Genomic DNA, 23432 nt, shown 5'->3' with positions numbered 1-23432 from the left:
TTTCCAGGCACACCTTCGATTAACCCAAGGTACATAAAACTGATATTAATATTTCCAATCCCACCTTGGCTAGAGTTTTGTCTGTGTAATAGTACATTAACATCAAGCAAAACACAGGGATGCTGCTTCTCTCAAAATGAAAGCAACAGAACTTCCTTAAACACTGCACAATCACATCGGCTGACTTTTTCCCCTCAAGAAAGAAAGACCTGCTGAAAAATGTATGTATGCTTCATGAAACCATTCAGAATCTCAAACAATCTATTACAAGACTGCTGACAGGAAATCTCTAAACAAATAAATCAAACTATTACTAACTGGCATTTAGACTCAGAGGTAAAAGCCACTACCCTCTAAAAAATCATAACAAAAAATATTGAAAAGACAACATGACATAAAGAGAAAAAAAAAGGTGAGTCAGACAGATGATAGACTTTCTGATTTTAGACTTGCAACATGCGGCCAGAAAAACCATCCTATTTGCCAACCACAGGGCCATCTTCAGCAACAGTATAGTGTAGGGGTCAACAGTGTTGTTCTTAAAGCTCCAGATAGTAAACATTTTCTGCTTTGTGGGCCATCTAGTCTTTGCTGCAACTGCTCAACTCTGCCACTGTAGTGTAAAAGCAACCCTGGAAAATATATAAATAACTGGGTGTGGCCATGTTCTAATAAAACAGATATAGGTGGCAGGCTAGATTTGGTTCCTTTATATACCCCTGGTGTAATGCAAAGAGAAAACTTTGGACTCAGGTGCCAAAGGCATCTCCCATATATATGCCTGCTATGGAAGTTGGGGAAATGTGGCTAAAATTTAGCCTGAGGTTTTTTTGTTGTTGTTGTTTTGTTTTTTTTTGGTTTTTTTCCATCTATAATACAAGGAGAACAGCTATCTTGTAAGGTTGTTGTAAGAATTGGCAATGGTGCCATTGAAACCCCACAGTGTCTGGCATACAGAGGTAGTCGGTAGTAAATAAACGAATTATGGGTGCTTGACAGGGTGTCACTAGAAGCTCAACTAGATAACGAATACAATCCTGTAATATGCTATTATCCAGGATCCAATCTTCTACAAAGAATTAAGAATGGCATTTAATATAACCCCCGTAATGAATGAGAACTTTTCCTTTGTTCTTGCTTTAAAGAGTGTACAGAAATTGGTCTTCTTGTTGCTCACTGGCAGCCTTGCTAGAACAATGTCAAGATCAAGGGAATGCAATGGCTGATACCTATGACAAAAATGTAGAAATTAATTTGAAATGAATTTGAAGCCAACATCAACAGCCCTCAGTCACATGAAGACACTCCCTTTGCCCTTTCAAGAGACAGATGGAATGGAAACATGAAAGGAGTAGCACATCTCAACAGGTCTGCAAACCAGAATGTGAAAAACGTCTTCAAAAGCCAGCCCACTCTCATCTTTGCAATTGATGTCTGTCTCAGAGGAGGGCCAAGCCACCTGGAAGCCAAGCCAAGATCAAGCACCATGGACAAAAGGGATAGGTCAGAGTTCCCCATAGCAGGCACTTGCAGGGCTGTGGATGTGGGGAGCCAGGGGAGCAAGTCAAAATACAGAACAACAGCTGCTGGTGCATATGTCCATCACGGAGACCCCGGAATTGCCTCCTTTTATACCATATAAAAGCAAAGGCAAGCTTCTAAGTTAAAGTGAATTTAACAATCAATTCAAAAGTCTTTGGAGCAAAACAAAAAGGAGCTCATTAAGAGCTTCCTCTTCTGATATCCAGATGGCTCTTACTCCTCCATAGAGCACTCAGGAATTAAGGAAGGAGATCCCTCTGCACTTTCAATTCCAACTACAGTCATCCCACATTGACCAAGAGAGGGCAACTCAATAAAAAGAAACACAAAAATGCTTGAATATCTCTCTTGAAAGAGCCAAAACACGAAGAAATGTGTTTGCTTTAAAATGTCTCTGGAAATACTATCTGTATGGCAATATCCCTATTATCAGCCCATAACATATTTTCTTCATCCCAGTATTCCCCAAAGCGCAAGAAACCCCAATTTCTCTATCTGCTCAAAGTAAATACTCTCCCCACCTACTCTAAAACTAAACATTTTTCAACTTAACTTGCTCATATAGTCTCTTTCCTTATACAGGCTTCAGTCAAATGACAAATTGTCAGCATAATCCTTAAGAAAAGCATTAACATATTAAAGTCCTTCCAACTCTTCTTTCCAACAAAACAGTGTCTGCAAATAGTACAGGACTTGGTTGCTGCCTTGAAATTGCCTCACGTACCCACATGAAAACACAATAGGTTAGCCAGGTATACTAGAAAATCAGTCCTGGGTTCAAAATGAGAAACTAGTTGGTCTAATGGATAGAACATAAGCTCATGAGAAAGAAGTTCTCCTTCCAGCTCCACCACTTGTCATGGTGTGGGCAATTATTCTTTCTGCATATGCAGCCTCAACTGCAAAGAAAGGGAGATGGACTCAAAGATGCTGACAGTCCTTTCTACTCTTAATATCTTACACATTTCTGAATGGTAAAGACAAGAATGGTCTGGGAGGATGGCTTTCTTTTTCCTATTCTCAGGATTTTTTTTTTTTTTCAACTGGTTACAATCCTCATAGGATCAAATTTCAGATTCCCTTGATTTTAAATTTCTCCAGTAAGTTAGAGTAAGGCTTTCTGTAGTTGTCATTTCAAAATCTGAGCTCCCTTTATTCTAAATACTAGAGCATTCTCTTCTTGTCTTACTGGTGCTAGGCAAAAACAAACAAACAAACAAACAAAAAGATTAAAGTGGGAGGTACCAGGACAAGTCAGCTATTCAAGATAAGAGGAAGGTGGCCCAAAGCTGAGTACATAACACCAAGAAAGCAAATACACAAAACACATGTTGCAACTCTTCATTCCTATGGCCAAGGTGGCTGCCTTTAACTCATCACAACACTTGTTAGACTGGATAGAGTCTCAGAATCATCACGTTCCACTTCAGAAAACTAAAGAAAATCCAGTCCTCATCCCTAATGAAAAGTTCAAAGTTTACAAGCAACACAGTGGTGGGGAAATGTGTCTACTGCACAAAATGGTTTTACTGCCTAAGAGTCTAACAAAGAGCAAGACCCTCTTAGTTAGTAGGGCTTCAGGATCTAATTGTTCAGTGTGGGTTGGTGGAACAGAAAGGGGATTCCAAGTAAATATACTGGATTTCAAATGAAAGAAAACAGACAAGGAATAGGTTCCAAAGAAACAGAACAGTTACTAGAAGGTAAGTATAAACAGCCAAAACAGGAAGAACTTCCAAGTATACAGGCTGCTTTTTTTTTTGTTGTTGTTTTTTGTTTGAGAGGGAGTCTCGATCTGTCACCCAGGCTGGAGTGCAGTGGTGCCATCTCAGCTCACTGCAACTTTGCCTCCCGGGTTCAAGCGATTCTCATGCCTCAACCTCCTGAGTGACTGCGACTATAGGAGCGTGCCACCACGCCCAGCTGATATTTGTATTTTTAGTAGAGACGGGGTTTCACCATGTTGGCCAGGCTGGTCTCGAACTCCTGACCTCAGGTGATCTGCCCACCTTGGCCTCCCAAAGTGCTGAGATTACAGGCGTGCTCCATCGCATCTGGCCTCAGGATGGTTTTATAATAAACTGATACTATAAGACTGTGGTCACTGGTGAAGTATATGTGCAAGAGCAGCCAAGAAATTTTTGAGTGGAGGCTCTTCCTTTCTGCTGGAGAACTTTCCTTGGCCCTCCAGATCCACTGTCCATACTTTCTGCCTTAACTCTGTGCCCTGGGGCCTGGCTTGTAGGGATCACATCGCCAGATCCCCTGTCTTCTTGCTTCTGTGTTCAGCCAACAGGCATGCTGGCTGGCAGGAAACAGGAGGAAGGAAGGAGAATGAGGTCTGGATATTTATTCTTTCCACTCCTTCCACCAAAGGCACCCCTGCTTTCAAGTCTGCCCTCCCCCACATTATTCTTTCCTCTAGGTTCTGGCAAAAGTGCCCTCTTCTTGTCTATGTAATTCTAGGGATATTAGTTAATAATCCAGGGTAGCGATCAAGCCCTTGTAGTTTCCCTGAACTTTATAACATCTTACTAAATAAACAGTATTTTGATTAAGCTTTCTTCAAATTACCCAAATGAAGTATGTCATCTCTTTGCTAATATACCCTAGAAAGCATAAAAACACATCTTTAGAGTAATGAAAATAGTATGATGCCAAGTTAGGCACAAATAGGTCAAGGGACGAGAATAGCCTCGAGAATAGCCTCTAGAAGACAACCCTGAATTAGAATATACCGTATGTGATAAAGGGGCATTTAAAACCATTGGAGAAGGCGTGAATTGTTAATGGATGTTATTTGGACAACCAGCCATCAAATTGAAAAAATAAATGAAGGTAAAGTCCCCATCTCATACCAAGAATACAGATTTGAATTTTAAGTCACATAAAATCCAGGGGAAGAAAGCTATTGATTCATTAAGCCTGTTTACTGAATGATTACATCATGTTAGGCACTAATCTGGGAGCCAGAACCTGGTAATGAACAAGACAAGCCTTTTGGCATTTCCATTCTAGTAGGCAAAGACAGCTGACGACCATGCAAGAAAAGCGTCAGACACTGTGAGTGCCAGGTGAATAAATGGTGATGTGATAGGACGGTGGCTAATTTTAGACTGGGGAGTCACAGAAGACTTCTCAGGAGAGTAACATGCTAAGATCAGAATGATAAGAAAGAGTTCGAGATCAGCCTGGACAACATAGTGAAACCCCATCTCTACCAAAAATACAAAAAATAGCTGGGCATGGTGGCGGGCACCTGTAGTCCCAGCTACTCGGGAGGCTGAGGCAGGAGAATCACTTGAACATGGGAGGCGGAGGTTGCAGTGAGCAGAGATCGTGCCACTGCACTCCAGCCTGAGTGACAGAGTCAGACTCTATCTCAAAAAAAAAAAAAAGAAAAAAGAAAAGAAAAGAAAAAGAAAAAGCTGGCCATTTGAAGACAGGGAAGCATAAGAGTCAGGGATGAAACAACTCCCCAGCAAGAATGAACTCAGTGCACTCAAGGAATAGGAAGGAGGTTAGCAAGCACGTGCCACGGAAACAGAAGTAGGCTAAAGACGACCGAGAAGGGCTCTGTGGCCAGACTAGAGAGGTCTAGTTTTACTCCAACTATAATGGGAAGCCAATGGAGGGTTTCCAGCAAGGAACAACACGATCTGGTTTACATTTTATTTTATTTATTTTATTTTATTTTTTGACAAGTAGTATCGCCAGGCTGGAGTACGGTGGTGCAATCTTAGCTCACTGCAACCTCCACCTCCCAGGTTCAAGCTCCCAGGCAGCTCACTGCCTCAACCTCCTGAGTAGCTGGGATTACAGGCACCTGCCACCATGCCTGGCTAATTACCTTTTAAAAAGCTATAATACAACTTTGGGAGGCCAAGGCAGGTAGATCACCTGAGGTCAGAAGTTTGAGACCAGCCTGGCCAACATGGTGAAACCCTGTATCTACTAAAAATACAAAAATTAGCCAGGCATGGTGGCAGGCACCTATAGTCTCAGCTACTCCGGAGGCTGAGACAGGAGAATTGCTCAAATCCAGGAGGCAGAGGTTGCAGTGAGCCGAGATCGCGCCACTGCACTCCAGCCTGGGTGACAGAGCAAGACTCCATCTCAAAAAAATAAATAAATAAAATAATTAATTTAAAAAATAAAAAACTATAATACAGACACTCAAATTCATTAGTCATTAGGAAAATGCAAATACAAATCAAAATCAAAACCATAATGAGATACCACTTCACACCTACCAGCGGGCCATTAAAAAAAACACAATGGAAAATAACAAGTATTCATTGTGGAGAATCTGGAATCCTAGTAGTACTGCATACCGCTAACAGAATATACAATGGTGCAGCCATTGTGCAAAACATTTTGACAATTCCTCAAAAAGTTAAAGTTACTATACGACCCAGCAATTCTACTCTTAGGTTGATACTCAAAAGAAGTGAACACAGGTATTCAAAGAAAAACCTGTATGTGAATGTTCATAGCAGCATTAGTCACAATAGCCAAAGGTGGAAACAACCTAAATGTCTATTAATGAACTGATATATAAAACGTGGGATATACAATGAAATATTAGGCCATTAAAGTAATAAAATTCTGATACATGCTACAACATGGATGAACCTCAAAAACACTAAGTGAAAGATGCTAAACACAAAAAGTCATATATTATGTGATTCCACCTATATGAAATGTCCAGAACAGGTAAATCCACAGACACAGAACCAGATTGGTGGTTATCTGGAACTGATGAAAGGCAGAAAGGAGAGGCTGCTTAATGAGCATGGGGTTTCCTTTTGGGGTAATGAAAATGTATTGGAATTAAATAGAGGAAATACTGTTGAACCTTGAACAACATGGGTTTGAACTGCATGGCTCCACTGAGAGGTGGATTGTTTTCTGACTCTGCCACCCAAGACAGAAAGATCAATTTCTCTTCTTCTTCCTTCTCAGCCCATTCAGCAAAAAGATAAAGATCAAGACCTTTATGACCCACGTCCACTTAATGAATAGTAAATATATGTTCTCTTCCTTATAATTTTCTTAAAGAAATTTTTCTTTTTTAATTTTTAAACTGAGACAGGGTCTCACTCTGTTGCCCAACAATGGTGCAATCACGGTTTACTGCAGCCTCGACCTCCCAGGTTCAAGCGATCCTCCCACCTCAGCCTCCCCAGTAGCTGGGACCACAGGCATGTACCACCATGCCTGGCTAATTTATTTTTTGTAGCAACAGAGTCTCACTATGTTGCCCAGGCTGGTCTCAAACTTCTGGATGCAAGCAATCCTCCTGCCTCAGCTTCCCAGAGTGCTAGGATTACAGGTGTAAGCCACTGTGCCTAGCCTTCCTTACAATTTTCTTTTTTTGTTTATTTTTTTGAGACAGCCTCGCTCTGTTGCCCAGGCTGGAGTGCAGTGGCTTGATCTCGGCTCACTGCAAGCTCCGCCTCCTGGGTTCACACCATTCTACTGCCTCAGCCTCCCAAGTAGTTGGGACTACAGGCGCCCACCACCATACCTGGCTAATTTTTTGTATTTTTTAGTAGAGATGGGGTTTCACTGTATTAGCCAGGATGGTCTCCACCTCCTGACCTCATGATCCGCCTGCCTCGGCCTCCCAAAGTGCTGGGATTACAGGCATAAGCCACTGTGCCCAGCCTACAATTTTCTTAATAACATTTTCTTTTCTCTAGCTTACTTTAAGAATACAGCACATAACATATATAACATACATAATATGTGTGAATCGACTGTTTATGTTATTGATAGGGTTTCTGGTCAACAGTAGGCTATTAGTAGCTAAGTTTTGGGAAAATCAAAAGTTATACATGAATTTTCAACTACACTGTGGGGTCAGTGCTCATAACTGCTATGTGTTGTTCAAGGGTTAACTGTAGTTACAATGAATGTATATTTATTTTATTTTATTTTTATTTTTTGAGATGGAGTCTCCCTCTGTTACCGAGGCTGGAGTGCAGTGGCACAATCTCTGCTCACTGCAACCTCCGGGTTCAAGCCATTCTCGTGCCTCAGTCTCCTGAGTAGCTGGGATTATAGGCGCCCACCACCATGTCCGGTTAATTTTGTATTTTTAGTAGAGACAAAGTTTCACATGTTGGCCAGGCTGGTCTCGAGCTCCTGACCTCAAGTGATCCACCCGCCTTGGCCTCTCAAAGTGCTGGGATTACAGATGTGAGCCACCACGCCGGGCCCTGAATGTATATAAATGCCACTTAATTGTACCCTTTAAAATGGTTAATTTTATGTGATAATTTAAAATAATGGTTAATTTTTTGCCTCAATTTAAAAAATGCTATATAGAATTTGTATTTTTTGCACAGCACTGTACTCAATATCCTGAAAACCTTTCTCATAACAAAATACCTAAAAATGCTAGATATTAAAAATATTTTAACATTTGTGCCTACACTTTCAAGAAAGCATGAGAAATCCTCAAAGGCTCAAAACCAAATAAGATCTAAAGACTCAAGCAGCAATAAAGAAACAATGGTTCACAAGGCACCCATCTGCCAATCTCCAGTAGAGTTCTCAGCAGACGCAAAGGACAAAGCCCGGGGTGCAAACAAGATGGGGAGCTGGAGCAAAAACCCCTTCTATACTCAGGTGGAACCCCTGCATGACTACGCCCTATGAAAGTCAGTGAATCAGAAAAACCTCAGCCCCACAAAGCGAGATGGCAAGCCAAATCATGTCAGCGTCGGTTCTTGGTGGAGAGAGTGAAAATACATAATTTTCCTGAGAAATCTAACAGCCTTACTACATCCTCCTCTCTAGGGATGAGGCTGCCTGCCTTCAAAGTTTAAAAAATCCTAATGAGTGCTGATTATTTTTCTTCTAACTGCAGAGATTCCTAGATTCTTTTGGAAACCAGCAGTTATTTGGAGGAGAGTCCTTTTTTCTGGCCTTGACAGCCACCCTGGAAGTTCCCTGCTCCTGACTTAGCGGCTCAGACAGCAGAGGACAGAGGACAGTTGTTTTCCTTACCATGTGAGTGCCCAAGGCCTATTCATTCTTGCTCTGATTTTGAGGTTAGTATGGGTTGCTTCTGGGAAAAGTCCTTTGGAGGGGTCTCTTTCACCTGGGTGGGGCTGTGAGCTCTGAGCTGGTCTGATCCCACCTGCTTTATCAGGCACTGAATAGTCTCACTGTTCTGGAGGCCTGATGGTCAGTTTAGCCTTTTCTGTAATCCTTGGGGTTTATTTTTATTTTCATATTTCTTCTGTCATTTCAATGGGATTTGGGGAAGAAAGAGGATGTAAATTTTGGCAAGCTAAAAAAAAATTGTGAATATTGGTTGGTTTGGGGAGAAAAATGCCTGTTTTACAATTCATATAGCTGATTTCAGATACTTTTATTCCTTCTTTACAGTTGTACTCCTTCCATCAGAGTATGCCCGTGGGCCCTCACTGACCCCCAAGGTGGGTGCCACCCTGCTGATGACTCCCTAGGCTTATGCTGAAGCCTCCAAAAGCCCCTGCAGTTATAAGGGGGCAGCCAACCAGGGAGCCAGTATTATCTGGGCGTTCTAACTGTATTGACGTGACTCCTTCAGATGGGTATGAGAAACCTTTGAAAAAATACACCCTAAAGAATTCTTTGTTTATGACATAGGGTTAGAGGGGGAAAAAATGAATAAATAAAATAAATAAATAAATAAATAAATCAATAAAAAACCAAAACCAAAAACACCAAAAAAAGAATTCTCTATTTCCCCACAGTCTATCTTTGCTGACTTCATTCTGAAATTCTTAAATCAGATATGCTTCTTGTCCTTTTTCTCCATAGAAGACTTAATTGATTTATTTCAGATCAACCATAGTGGAGTTATTTAGATGTAAAAAAAAAATTATTTGTCAAAAGAAATTAAGAATAGCACTCCCCACACCAGATCTTTATATGTCACTAACAAAAAGTATACAAAGAAAAATAACATTCCACATTCAACAGTCTCTATAAACAAGTTGATCCCCTGCCAGAACCTATTCAATTTGAATTTGGCCATGAGTAGTATTCTCATGTTGATTTATAACCTAAGACTCTTTACTATTCAAGGCAAAACACAGCCCTGAGCTCTGGCATTAAAACAGCAACCAACAAATTAGCATTATCCTTGAAAAATTCAACCAAACATCTGCACCCAAACACCCTGAGACAAAGCACTTCAGATTGGAATAAAATATAAAACTGGATTCACATATTTAAATGAAATGTTTCAGTGTGTTTTTACTGAAGGATTGTTTGCCACAGATGGATGAGAATATGAGAGAAAAAGTCATAAATCATTTCATTTTAGAGCTCTGAAAGGCCCAGGAAGACCAGGTGGAACTAGAAATATTGCTGTGGCTATTTAAAAAATATTATCTGCCACATATCCGTTTACTTTGATATTTAATTTTTCAATTTTAGTTTAACACACGTGTTAACATCATAAGTTAAAAAGTTTATATCTGGAAAAGCCGCCATTGTGGACTACTACCTTTGAAATCTATTTAATGATGAATTTTCCTTTTTACATCCCACATAAAGAGGATATATTTAATATTACTCTTGCTTACTGTCATCTAAGCTCTTCATTTTATACATAAACTAAGTCCAGTGATAGTAAATGACTTGCCTAAGGTCAAGAACCCCAAGGATCCTTAGCAAAATGTTACAATTCTAAGATATTCCAAAAATAATATACTTAAAGCCACGGATCCAAAATACTGATTCATTTCTCAAGGTATACTACCCTGATGTTCTGCAGAATATTAGCAGATATTTGGCAAATTGGGATTCTTTGGATAAATAAGTTTATAAATGTTGGGTTAAACAAAGACTCTTAGCTGTATCAGTGAACTTTATGCATCTCCAAGAGGAGAAATACAGTAGACAATTGGTTTTACAAACTTATTTGACCAAAGATGCCACTTTCTACCCACAGAACACAGCATACAACCAATGAGAAATACTCTCTTAAGTTGTTTTCTAGAGTCTTGTCTTGCTTCCTGAGAATCTGTCATCACAACACCACCAGAGGATTTTTCTAAAATCTGACCTGGTTATGTAGCCCCTCAGCTTATATCCTTTCAACAGCTCCCCTCTGCCAGTCTGGTTAAGCCCACTCTTTGGCATGGCATGATACTCCATTACTTGTACAGGTCAGCTCTTACCTCACCTGGAATTTTATACTCCCACGTTGTGGTTTAAATCCTCTTCTCATCCCTACACACCTGAGCGATACCACAAACTCATATCCATTAACAGTGGGGTGGGGCATGGCAATGAGTTCCTTAAGAGGAATATCTGAGTTCCCAGGGGTCTCTGGGTATAGGTTTGCATGGATATAGGAGAAATGACCTCTAGCTGTTTTGTTTGTTTTTATTATTTTTTAAACAACCCTTTAAAAAGCCTTCTGAGCCTGGAGACAGCATAAAAGAGAGCAAGGCCCAGATTTGGCCCATAGGCCACAGTTTGCTAACTCTTAAATTAGAGGACAGCACAATTCAGGACATTCAAGGTTGCCCACAGTGAGTACTGCCTAGAACATGGAAGGAATATGAAGGGTGCTCCATGCCTAAAAGCCAGAAGCCAAGAAGCACAAGGGGCTCTAACAGATTGGTTGAGGTACGGCAGTGAAATAACCAGGAAAGACAACCCCTGCTCATGCCCCTTCTCTCATTTGAGACCAGATAGCTGAGAAAGGAGTAATGTTTCCAGGTGGAAACAATGATTGGGACAGAGGGATAGGGTATTATTTCTAGGCACTAGTAGCATTCAGGAAAAAAATAGAGAATACATAATCCAGAAGACCATCCATAAATGGATCCCAAACAGCATCATCCCATGTTGCTATACCATACTCTGAAAATATTATCAAGCACAGCAGTAGCAATTACATCCTCCCTTCAGCATGGGTGAGCTGGGTCAGCAGAGAATGCAGACCAGCTGGCAGAGAGTCTCACACAAAAATGAGCTCACTATCAGCAATCCAGCTGAACACTGGAGAATGCAAATTAAAAAATGAACAAAAAATTTGCAAAGGAGAGTCCACAGAACAAACAAAAAAGCAGCGTTAAATATAATTATTATCCTTGGAAAGATAAAGAAAAGCAGAACCATGAAATGAAAGAACTGTTATAAAAATCCAACATATTTTAAAAATATTTTAAAATTATGTACATATTTGTATATAGTAAATATGTTTAAAGTACATATTTTTAATAGAAAGAAATTGTTGAAACATTTATTAGAAGGACTGAATAAGCAACTCAATTACAAGTTTTAGAGAAATACATTAAACAGAGAAATTATCCCAGAACTTAGAATGAAGAAATGAAAAGTATAAAAGAAATGTTAAGAGACAAATGAATCCAACTGGAAGTTTCATCGTCTTAAAGTTCCATAAGAAGAGAATAGAAAGAATGGTAGAAAGTCAATATTTAAAGTAGGAGCTGAGAATTCCTAGAATTAAAAATACACATAAGTTGATAAGGCAAAAAAGCCTATCATCTACTAAGGAAGATAAGTAAGTTAAACAAACATCTGCACACATGTACATATATCTCTTCAGAGGGAACAGTACAATTTCTGAAATATTAACGTAGAAAAATAACAAATGCAACTAGAAAAAAATATTATTAATCAAAGGATTAAGAAGCAGAATAATATAATACTTCTATCAGCATTAGTGGGTGTAAGAGAACAGTGAAGCAGTATCTTCAAAGGCCTAGAATTTTGTGCCTAGAATTTTATATCTAGCTAAACTAACCTGCATTTAACATGACAATCAGAGGACATTTTTGGATATGCAAGCACTCAAAGTTTGCACCAAAGTTTACCAACATGGGTGTACTGCAGCAAGGAAAAAACAAACTATTCACGACAGCAGTGATATCTAAGAAACATTGTTGGGAAAATTTTTACAATTTTTTTGTTTCCCAAATAAGAAATGAGCAAGGAAAAAGTTATTTACTAACAATCTAAGAAGTTAAAGGAAAAATAACATGAGAGGTGGCGAGTGGGAATCTGAGAAAAGTAAAAATATCTTAAGCTTCTTAACTTGGCAACAAAGGGACTTAGAAACTAGAAACTGATTTTTTTTTCTAACTGCTTCTAAAATTAATAAGTTTTAAAATTTAAAATAATTAGAAGAGCAAACTGGTAGAGGGAAAAATAAAGTATATGTATACACAGACATAGCAGAAGGCATAGGAGGGCTGTAGAACTACTCATGCAGGTCTAAATGCCCTGTCTACTTGTTCCTCTATAGCTCGAGCATTGCCTCCATCTAGACCATTCTTAAAAACCTCACATCTCTCCTTCTCCCCACCCATGATCCCACCATATACTGAACAAATTTATACTACAGTATCTATAATACTTCATTATGTTTGTTGTTTACAAACCAATCTTGCTCATTAGGCATAAACTCTTAAGGACTAGAATAGCCTCCTTCTCATTTCTACATCCCTTCCTATATCACAGTTACTCAATGTTTGTTGAGTGGATGAAAATAGAGGCAATTTTTACATACTTAAAACAACTAGAGAATTGATTGTACATGACCAAGGTTATAACTTATAATAAATTATTTGTTGCAAGAGGCTAAAAACCATGTCTAAGTTACTACTGCATTTCTGACAAAGTCATTCTTGGATATTTTTGTTAAGTTTAGAAATCAACTGAAATCAGGATGTAGGAGGATGTACTAGACAATATTAAGGTGTCTTCCATCTCCAAACTCAAAGTTTAGAGAATAACTTTAAGAGACACTTTGACTGATAGTCCCTGAAATCGTACAACACCTGCAGAAGCTCTATGTCTTCATGGTTTTCAGACCCAGGAGTATTCTCCATCAATATGGCGGACATCACTCGCACATTCATTTTCACCATATCCAATTCACTGTGCAGTTTTCCAATCTGTAGAGAGCAACACAATCACCAGTCAGTGCGACACACAAAGAATAACTACCTTGTTTCCTGCCCCCATGGGACATTTGCTGGATGAAAAAATGCTTTTGCAAAATTTAATATTTTCAAACTTAAATTTAATTTCATATAAATATACATATAGTTATTTTACAAATGTATACCTTGTCACCTTCTAAAAGGACTTGAGATCTCTTGTAATAAACCCCAAAATATGCTTTAGGAATTTTAAAAATGAAAGGAAAAAAAAAGATTAGAACCCAATATGGAGAGGGGAGAAGTACCAGGTACCTAGCAGAAGAAGGTACCAGAAACCTGGATAAAATGGCAAAAGTTATCCTGAGTTTCTTGGCAACCAATAGGGTAAAAGAAAAACAAATGAGGGTTATCCAGTTCTCATGGTATTAAAGAAGAAGGAATAAAGAAACACCTTTTCTTCCTGTATTAAATTCTAAGAGGAATTAGTCACATGCATTTTTATATAAGAAAAAAATAATACAACAAAATCTTCAATTATAGTTCCTTTACAGCAGAACGGAAATTAGCCTCATATAATAATTGTTTATCGGTACCTTGGATAAACTGATATACACAAAGAAGTAAATACAATTCAGTTGGCATAATAAATACAAGTAATAAGACTACCATTTACTAAACTCTCTGAAATATGTGACAGTCCTACCAGAAGTAACAGGAATTAGCTGATGGACCCTAGATCCAGTCCACAGTCAAGGCTCCAGAAAGCCATGAAAGCCGCTAGGCAAGCACAACTCTTACAAAGTTGGGCTTTGGAAGCAGACAGAACCCATGGGATTACTCCTTCTTGGAACTGAACTATGGTAAGTCACATAGTATTACTAAGCCTCAGTCTCTTCCTCTGTGAAATGAGTGTACCTACATCTCAATGTTGTTAACCAGAAAAGACAAACTGTATATAAGGTGCTTACAAATCAGGAAAAGACATCAATTAAATGCAATGATTGTTGTTGTTACCTGTTCTGGGACCAATGTAACAGTCGAGTTCTTTGGAGCAATTACAGAAGAAAGAGCTGGTGCAGTAGGGACAGATGTTGGAGGATTTGATGAGATTTGAGCAGTCTATGAGTATGAAACATGGTAATATTATTATGTGAATTAACATAGCCACCCAACGCCAAGTTTTTTCCATTCAGCTAACTCAAGCACTCTCAAAGTCCTGTGTACAGGGTATCTGCCCAGAGTAAATCATCAGCTACACAACCCGTCCAGCATTTTGTGAAGAATGCTAAGCAAATGACATGCCCATAATAAAGCAGGTATTCAACAAAAGGTGGCTATTAGGATTATCATTTACAATTTAATAAAATGCCCTTTTTTTTTTTTTTTTAACCAAGGGTCTAAGTGATAAACTGCCATGTGAGATTATTGATGCCTTCTCTTTGGGTTGTTAATAACAAATGGTAGCTCAATTCATGTCAAGTCCTTTTAAGCCACAGCTGACAAGGCATCTCCTTCTCCATCAATGACCCTCCTTGGGTCAATGCCACATCTCCAACCTTGGGTGGAGAGGTGAAAGCTCAAGGCTCTAGGCCAGTGCTTCTCAACATTAATGTGCAGAGAAAACACCTGGAAATCTTGTAAAAAGGGAGGTTCTGATTAGTCTAGGGTGGAACATGCCAAACAAACTTTCATACTTTTAGTAGCAAAACACACTTTAAGTAGCAAAATCCCAAGTCTCGGTTATTCTATGAGATATTGCAATATCCTTCTAATAACTTCATCTTTTTGCTTAAGCTGGGTGGATTTAGGGTTGTCTCCTGTAATGAGAAAAGACCCAAGTGATACACTACTATAGTCTCCATGGGTCAAAGAAAGGCCTCCTACCTCTTGTCTTGCTGTTTCAGCCTCTGCTTCTGAGGGAGGAAACTGAACGCCTTTCTTAACCAGGTCGAGGTATACTTCTTTGACTTCGCTTACATCCACACCTCCTGGGAAGCCCTGTGACCAAGTCTGAATTCAAGAGATGAAAAAAGTTCCAGAGTTAAAACAGCAACAAAACCAAAACACAATTCTTTTTTTTTTTTTTTTTTTTGAGACAGAGTCTCACACTATTGCCCGGGCTGGAGTGCAATGGCACAATCTCTGCTCATTGCAATCTCCGCCTCCTGGGTTCAAGCGATTCTCCTGCCTCAGCCTCCTGAGTAGCTGGGATTACAGGCGCCCGCCACCACGCCTGGCTTACTTTTTGTATTTTTTAGTAGAGACGGGGTTTCACTATGTTGGCCAGGCTGCTCTCGAACTCCTGACCTTGTGATCTGCCCACCTCGGCCTCCCAAAGTGCTGGGATTACAGGCGTGAGCCACCGCACCCAGCCGAAAACACAATTCTTAAGCTCCTGATAGAAAATAAGAGATCAATAATTATGTACCCCACTCAGAAAGAGAAAGCTACTTTTGAATGCCATGGGCAAAATGCTCATTTTCAAAGGCTAGGAAAATATAAAATCTTTTAAATCAGATTTCCATGCCTCAAAATCTTGAAGAAACCCTAGGATATATACTATCAATTGTTTTTTGCTGCTCTGAATCCAAAATTAATAGATTCTAAAATAACATCAGTAGCTCTTTTTCCAAGTAACCTTGAACTAGTCAGTTAGCTGGAAGTTTCCCTACCTGCAAAGTGAACACACAGATCACTGTCTTTCCTATTTGACACAGATAAAATAGAAACTGAGAGGAAAGCAGGGAAATGACTACAAATTCTTCAGAAAAAGGGCACCATCCAATGCCAAAAAATTATTATTACACAGAAACTAAAATAGCAAAAATGCTTTTCTAGCTCAATCCTAGATATATAAAAGATAAGTGAAACAATCAGGAGGTAAGCTATTAAATCCCTAATCTTAGAAATTTACCATCCCATGAGGTATACAACAGACTTACCTTAATGAAATTCAAGATTCTATTCTGAATGTCTAATGGCAAGTTGTATCTGGGATTCAGTAGCTTAACTAAATTCTCTTTAACAAATTCCTTCTTCACAATCAGAGACTGGAAACTTGGACCACAGTTCTGCACACACATGTCAATAAGCTAAATTAGAAAAAAAATTAAACATTATATTTATCTGGCAAAACCACCTCCTAAAAATGTAAGGGAAAAACTGCTAAATAATGGGTTCCATCAGCATCCTAATTAACAAACATAATTTAGTATCTACTAAAATATATGGCAAAATGTTAGGTTCTGGGGATATGTGGAAGTATGAGCATAATGTAACAGTCTGGAGGACAGACTTATTGAGGAGTCCCAGCACATCCAGAAGGGCATTAACACCAATGCAGAGTACTAAATGCTAAATGCTGAAGGGACGTGCAGGCCAAACATATGAGCTATGGATGGAATAATATCTGTCCCAGTTTACCCAGGGTAGCACAGGTATATTCCCAATGTCCTGTTTATTAATGATGACACACCCTTTCACTTTCAAAAATGTCCTGGTTTGGATGATAAATTACACAGTCACCCCAGCTATAGGCCCTTATAGGCAAGAGTGATTATTTAGGGCTAGGTGGTCTTACAAGACTTTTGGAAAAGGCTAACTGGAAGCTGGGCTTTGCAAAATGGCTAAGAACAGTAAAAATGAGTATAGAGCTATATTCTAGACAGATAAATTGTATGAAAAATATATAAATGTGGAAAAATGGGTAAGTTATGAAGGGGGAGATAAGTATTCTGGTCTGTCTCTAGTAGAGGCATCCTGATATAGGTAAATTGGGGACACTGGAAAGATAGGGTGGATAAAGTCCGTCCAGGTTGTAGAGAAGTTTGTGTGGCATGCAAAGGGTGTGGATATTATCTTGAAGGCACTATGAAGTTATGGAGGGTCTCTGTTAGTTTGTCACCATCACACCTGTACCCTGAAATTGAGGAAAAGGTTAATGTGTGCAAAGTAATATTCTGGATAGGTTGTCAGGCAGCACTCTGCAAAGGCAAGCGGAGGGAGAAGAAACCTGGAATGATAGAAAGATCCAGTAGCAATGCACTATTTCAGGCATGTTATAGAAAAGGCCTAAACTAAGATGATGTGGGTACAAGAAAAGGAGGAGTCATGACACCATTATGAAGGAAGAACTTTGAATGACAGTGCTGGTCAAAAAAGGAAGATGACTGAAAGTTAAGTGACTCTCATTCTGCATGAGGACCCCTGTGACGGAAATTTGGAAGAGGGGGTGGTATGGCTGGTCTAGGTGTAAAAATGATGGGCTGAAATTTAGATATTTTGAGTTCAAAAGATAAGGGGCATTTAAGTAGGTGTTTAGCAGTGAGCTGGACACACACAGCTATAGTTCAAGAGAGTGAAGGGCCAAAAGTGAGTCATCAAGGCTGCCTACAATGAGAAGAGAAGAGGAAGGGCTGAAACACTGGGGTTCACCTACTATACGGGCCAACGAAAATCCAAGGAAGGCAATCAAAGAGTAACTGACAGAAAATGAAGCACAAAATCAGGAATACATAAGGCACCCCTTTGGTAAAGTCAAAAGAAAAGTTTCCTGGAGGATGGGGTGTTATACAGTTAAGAAGATGGTCTGAGGAACATCAGTTCCCTTGAAAAACACATTTGCAATAAAGCAACATGAGCAGAAACTTGACTAAGAAAGAATGAACCAATACTGAAGAACTGCATGCAGGAAGTAGATTTCTAAAAGTAAACTAAAAACAAAATTAAATCTTTAGTTTCCATGCTACCACCTCAAATTAGAAAGGTCATAGAAACCATAGCATGACCAGGATAGGTATAATCATCTCTGCAGAATAGAAGCCCTGAAAATGGACTTCATGCCATGCTTTGTATTTTTAGTCTCTCTTTAATGGCAATACATAAAGCGGCAGCATATAGCGTTTAAGTTATACTTAAAACGCTATAGTTTTAAGGCACTGTGACCAAGAAATAATCAGAAAATATAGAAACATGCAGCTGTGTGAAACACAGGGAAAACCTTTAAGGCAAAGAAAAATAAAAACAAAATCCAAAACATATTAAGATGAATCTGTACAGTTTGGTGAGACAAAGTTGGAAAGTTGAATAACATGCCATTTAGCTTGATGGATTATTATAATGAATTTTTAACGGGCGAAATCCTAAAAGGAAAAGTGCTTCTAGCTCAATGTGAGTTTACAGAAATATTTCACCTAACTAGTTGTACCGTCTTACGCAAATACCTAGCCTCCAAGTCTCACTCTCCCTAGGTGTATTTCTTGCTAAATAATTCGCAAACCAATTTTTGTTTGTTTGTTTGTTTGAGACAGGGTCTCACTCTGTCACCTAGGCTGGAGTGCAGTGGCGCAATCTCGACTCACTGCAACCTCTGCCTCTCCGGTTCAGGTGATTCTCATGCCTCGGCTTCCCAAGTAGCTGAGATTACAGGCGTGCACCACCATGCCCAGCTAATTTTTGTATTTTTAGTAGACATGGGTTTTCGCCATACTGGCCAGGCTGGTCTCAAACTCCTAGCCTCAAGTGATCCATCCACCCCGGCCTCCCAAAGTGCTGGGATTACAGGCATGAACCACTGCACCTGGCCCTCACAAACTAATTTTTATCTTTGGTGCCACAAGATTTTATGATAATGGGTAAGACTCCCAGGAGGTACATGCACAAAATCAAAGAGTCAACATGAAATGCTAAAAATGTGAACATCTGGAGATTAGCAGTCATGCCTTTTGTGTTTTCCCATTAGAATCAAGAATGTCAGGACTAATTAATTCTACATCACCTCCTCTATTATGTCACCAGAACCTCTTTCACCCTCCAACTCACTCAGATAAGTAATAAAACCTACGTGGCAAATTGGAAAAATTAAATATGTTTTCACATATTCTGAAATTGAACTTTGATGCAAATGTGTTCAGATAACCCATCTTTCGAAATAAGACAAATAAGAATCCATAATCTGAGGTGGGATTGAAAACTCAGGAGCCAAGGAACAAAGACTGAAGTGGGTGACTCCAGGCTTCACTGATCTTTTGGGCTTGGCTGGGCAAATCACTTATCCTAAGCTTCAGTGTCCTTATCTGCAAAATGGACATAATATCTCCCTCTAGAGACTTGTTGTAAGGCCCAAATGAAACATAACAAAGAGCCTGCCACAAAGCAGGACCTCAATACATGGCAACTATTTAGATCATCTTCCATGGAGAACTTCCTAGCAGGAGTGAATGTGATGATTAGCTGATCTAAGTATTTTAAGAGAGGGCTGGAAGAAAAAGAGGTAGTTGACAGTTTTCTCACTGTAAATTTCCAAACCAGGCAGAGTGACAACAACCAGGTTTCAGGGCCATCAGAGCTACACCTGGGCCGTGAATAGTGCCTACACCAAGGTGACTACCCCACTCTATGATGACACCCCTAGGACAGGCCTCAGTCTTCTCACTCCCTCCAACTGCAACAAGCTCCTGGGGGGACAACCACATGGTTTTGTTTTGCTTTGTTTTGCTTGGATACAGAGTCTCGCTTTGTCACCCAGGCTGGAGTGCACTGGCACAATCTAGGCTCACTGCAACCTCCGCCTCCTGGGTTCAAGCAATTTTCCTGCCTCAGCCTCCCGAGTAGCTGGGATTACAGTCACATGCCACCATGACTGGCTAGTTTTTGTATTTTCAGTAGAGACAGGGTATTACCATGTTGCCCAGGCTGGTCTCTAACTCCTGACCTGAAGTGATCTACCCTCCTCGGCCTCCCAAAGTGCTGGGATTACAGGCATGAGCCACTGCACCCAGCCTGATATTTTGTTTCACTGGTAAATTTGCCAAAGGAGAATAAACCAAGCTTTTTCTTCATTATTATTTTCAACCACATTTTACACATTTTATGAAACCCCTGAAGCTCACTGCTTAGGGGGTGCTCCACAAAGGCCTATTAACTAATTGATTCTCAGGAACCTGTTCGACCACTTTCCATTTGACAATAATAGTAGCCTCTTGCTGAGATTTATCACAATTGACTCATTCAAGAACAGAATACTCTCTGGCTCAGAGTAATAAAGCCTGGTAACAAAATTCTGCTGAAACACAAAACAAAACTGCTCCACCGACTGATGGTAGGAAATCATAGTACAGTCAGGTTCCGTCAAAGCCCAATCAAGGCTAACACGTCCACGGAGAACTCAACATGACAGATAACATAAAGAATATTTATAATCGAATTTGACAGGCTCTCATCACTTTACATTAATAAAATGGAAATGTCATATATAGGGATTACATTTTAAAGAGTTTACTGGTAAACTTATAATTGCTTTTGACAGACATAGGTGACTCCTGTGACTAATTTCCCTCATAATTAAATTTGGCTTACGTGAATATTAAAGTCAGTTCTGAGGCCTTAAGCATACCTCTGCAAGGCAGTGAGTAGTCTGAGACGAGGTGACTAGACCATTAAATACACAACTCAGGGAAATCAGCATGAAGATATGAAGAGTCAAAGGCCTATTTAAAGAAAATCCAAGGAAAAGCCAGATGTTTTTCCTGACTTTAATGTACTGTGACCCCAAGGATGAAGGTGTATTCTGACCTATGACTTGTGACTCTTGCCTGTTTTTAGGCACAGGCTTTAGATTGGACAGAAACCACGAGGTAAGGGAGCTACAGATCTGAGGTGGAACAGATAATGGGAAAGGCAGCGAGCAGATTAGACTACCTGATGAGAAGGAAGAGTGGAAGCCCAAAGAGAAACAGAGGGCCAGAGGCACAACACTCTGGAATAGCCCAACTTCCTCAAGGAGGGTCCCTGGTCCGTCGTCACAGGGAGGGAACCATGATGGAAGAAGATATGGAGGTGGGATTAAGAAGCAACCACTGAAACATCAAGTAGGCTGGGCACAATGGAGAAAGCGGCAAATTGTTATGAATGGTGAACACCTGTAAAAAGCAAAATAATAATACCCCATGCTGAAATAGAGAAGGGGGCATAAATTCATCTTCTGCCCTTCTCTTCCTTACTCAATTCTCCTAACCTTTGGCACCCTTGAGATATCCCAGATATACTATATTTGAGGGTACATCTACACATCTTTCTACTCCGGTTCTACAGTACCTTCCATTAGCCCTTGAGTCTTCCCGGATACTAGGAGAGACGGGATTAGGTGTGTGTATGAGGGTGGGGTGCTTAATCATTAATCCAGTCAACATCTGATATACCTGGCCCTGTACTACACAGGAAGAAACTAAAGACATAAAGGAAACACAGTAGCCTACTCTTTTAAGAGGCTTGATTCGTTCTTAGAAACAAAGTGGCATGAGGCAAGGGCATGGAATTTAGAATCTGAGGACTGGGATCAAATCTTGCCTATGCTATGTAATAGCCATTTTCATCTCGGAAATAAATCTGTTTCTGTTAGTCTCAATTTCTTCATCTGTTAAATGGAGTTAATAATAGAACTACTTCACAGGGTTGTCAAGAGCATTGGTCAGGTGCCAGGCATTTCTATCAGTGACCCATCATTCTGGGATTTCTACAGAAGTGCCTCACTCCTCTCTCCCGTCTTCTCCATTCTGTGACCTTCAAGAGTTAAGGACAGGTAAGAGGTCAAAAAAAAAAAAAAAAGGTGAAGGGGGAAAATGCCTCTAAAACTATATTCAGATCCCAATGTGAAGGGTTTCTTTAATGATCAAATCATGAAGACCGTTCACAGCATTTCTGCTTATTCAGCGAGCCTATGCAAGATGTCCATTTTCTTCTTCATGTAACTAGAAACCAGGAGCTATGCTCACATATGCCCCAAAGTCCTCTTGATAAAGACTAATGCTCCTAACGCAGCGTGATGTTGGCTGATTAGTGCCGTGACCATGCACAGTCTTGGGCTGGGCTGAGATAAACAAAGGCGTGCAGAATAAATCAGAAAGCTACACAGCTCACTCTCAGGCAGCAGGCAGGGCTTGCAACACATACTAAAGTAAAAAGGACAACTCACCAACGTGACTGAAGAGGTCATATTGCCAAGGATGGTGGGAAAATGGGAACACATCAAATAAGAGTCCACACTTAAATCACAGACAATACAACACACAGGAGAATTGCTTAAACCAACATAGAACATTCTCCAAATCACGCCAGGCAGCAGAACTTGTTTGGAATTTAATGAGCTGAGAGCATCTCAGGATTCCACAAAGCTGTTCAAGTAAGGCAGAAAGCTTACAGGGAGGTATTTTTCAAAATTTCAATTCTCCTCATCTTAAATTATGGTTAATTAATACATGCACAAACTTTTTTTTTTTTTTTTTGAGAAGGAGTCTTGCTCTGTTGCTCAAGCTGGAGGACTGGAGGACAGTGGTGCGATCTCGACTCACCGCAATCTCCACCTCCCAGGTTCAGGCAATTCTCCTGTCTCAGACTCCCAAGTAGCTGGGACTACAGGCACACGCCACCACGCCCTGCTACTTTTTGTATTTTTAGTAGAGACGGGGTTTCACCATATTGGTCAGGCTGGTCTCGAACTTCTGACCTCAGGTGATCCACCTGCCTCGGCCTCCCGAAGTGCTGGGATTACAGGTGTGAGCCACCGTACCCAGCCACAAACTTTTTTTTTAAGAGTTGAGGTTTCTCTTTATCACTCAGGCTGAGTTGCAGTGGCATGATCATAGCTCGTTGCCATCTTGAATTCCTGGGCTCAAGTGATTGTCCTGCCTCAGCCTCCTAAGTGGCTGGGACTACAGATGCAGGCCACCACATCTGGCTAATTTTTAAACATTTTGTAGAGACGGGCTCTCACCATCTTGCCCAGGCTGTTCTCAAACTCCTGGGCTCAAGCGATCATCCCACCTCGGCCTCCCAAAGTGCTAGGATTATAGGCAGGAGCCACCACACCCAGCCACTACACAAACTTCTTGATCAGTTCACCATGTGTAATACATGTTAACCACTAATTCCTATCTCCTGACCAAGAAAAATTGATTTTTCAGGAACAAG

The 23432-nt window shown here is 40.1% G+C and overlaps 1 protein-coding gene and 1 long non-coding RNA gene across 10 annotated transcripts in view, besides 1 other annotated feature; one reads left to right on the top strand and one right to left on the bottom strand.

Moving 5' to 3' along the window:
• TOM1L1 (target of myb1 like 1 membrane trafficking protein) overlaps positions 1–23432 on the bottom strand; it is a 61105-nt gene that overhangs the window by 32733 nt on the left and 4940 nt on the right. For 7 of the 9 annotated variants that reach the window (XR_243612.4, NM_005486.3, XM_047435068.1 and 4 more), the window contains 4 exons: positions 16409–16558; positions 15351–15476; positions 14481–14585; positions 13362–13478 (listed from right to left, as the gene is read on the bottom strand). Coding sequence is in view for 8 of the 9 variants with exons in the window: in NM_005486.3 (NP_005477.2) it covers positions 13362–13478; positions 14481–14585; positions 15351–15476; positions 16409–16558 (498 nt within the window). In the remaining variant the exon portion in view is untranslated. Of the gene's footprint in view, positions 1–13361; positions 13479–14480; positions 14586–15350; positions 15477–16408; positions 16559–22437; positions 22446–23432 lie in introns of all 9 variants that reach the window. The other 2 variants (NM_001321175.2, NM_001321176.2) reach the window with 1 other exon arrangement.
• On the top strand, positions 8068–9272 carry LOC124904032 (uncharacterized). Its single transcript, XR_007065853.1, has 2 exons — positions 8068–8562; positions 8944–9272. It is a non-coding gene; the product is annotated as an uncharacterized LOC124904032 (long non-coding RNA).
• Positions 8150–8209: an enhancer, noted in NCBI's record as "active region_12407". NCBI's record gives its function as "activates an Ori minimal core promoter by ATAC-STARR-seq in GM12878 lymphoblastoid cells {active_cell/tissue: GM12878}" and the evidence as "EXISTENCE:reporter gene assay evidence [ECO:0000049][PMID:35858748]".

Source organism: Homo sapiens, chromosome 17 (genome assembly GCF_000001405.40).
Source record: "Homo sapiens chromosome 17, GRCh38.p14 Primary Assembly".
Classification (NCBI taxonomy): Eukaryota; Metazoa; Chordata; class Mammalia; order Primates; family Hominidae; genus Homo; species Homo sapiens.
Note: the sequence above shows the minus strand (reverse complement) of the source record. Positions and strands in the feature narration are given on the sequence as shown.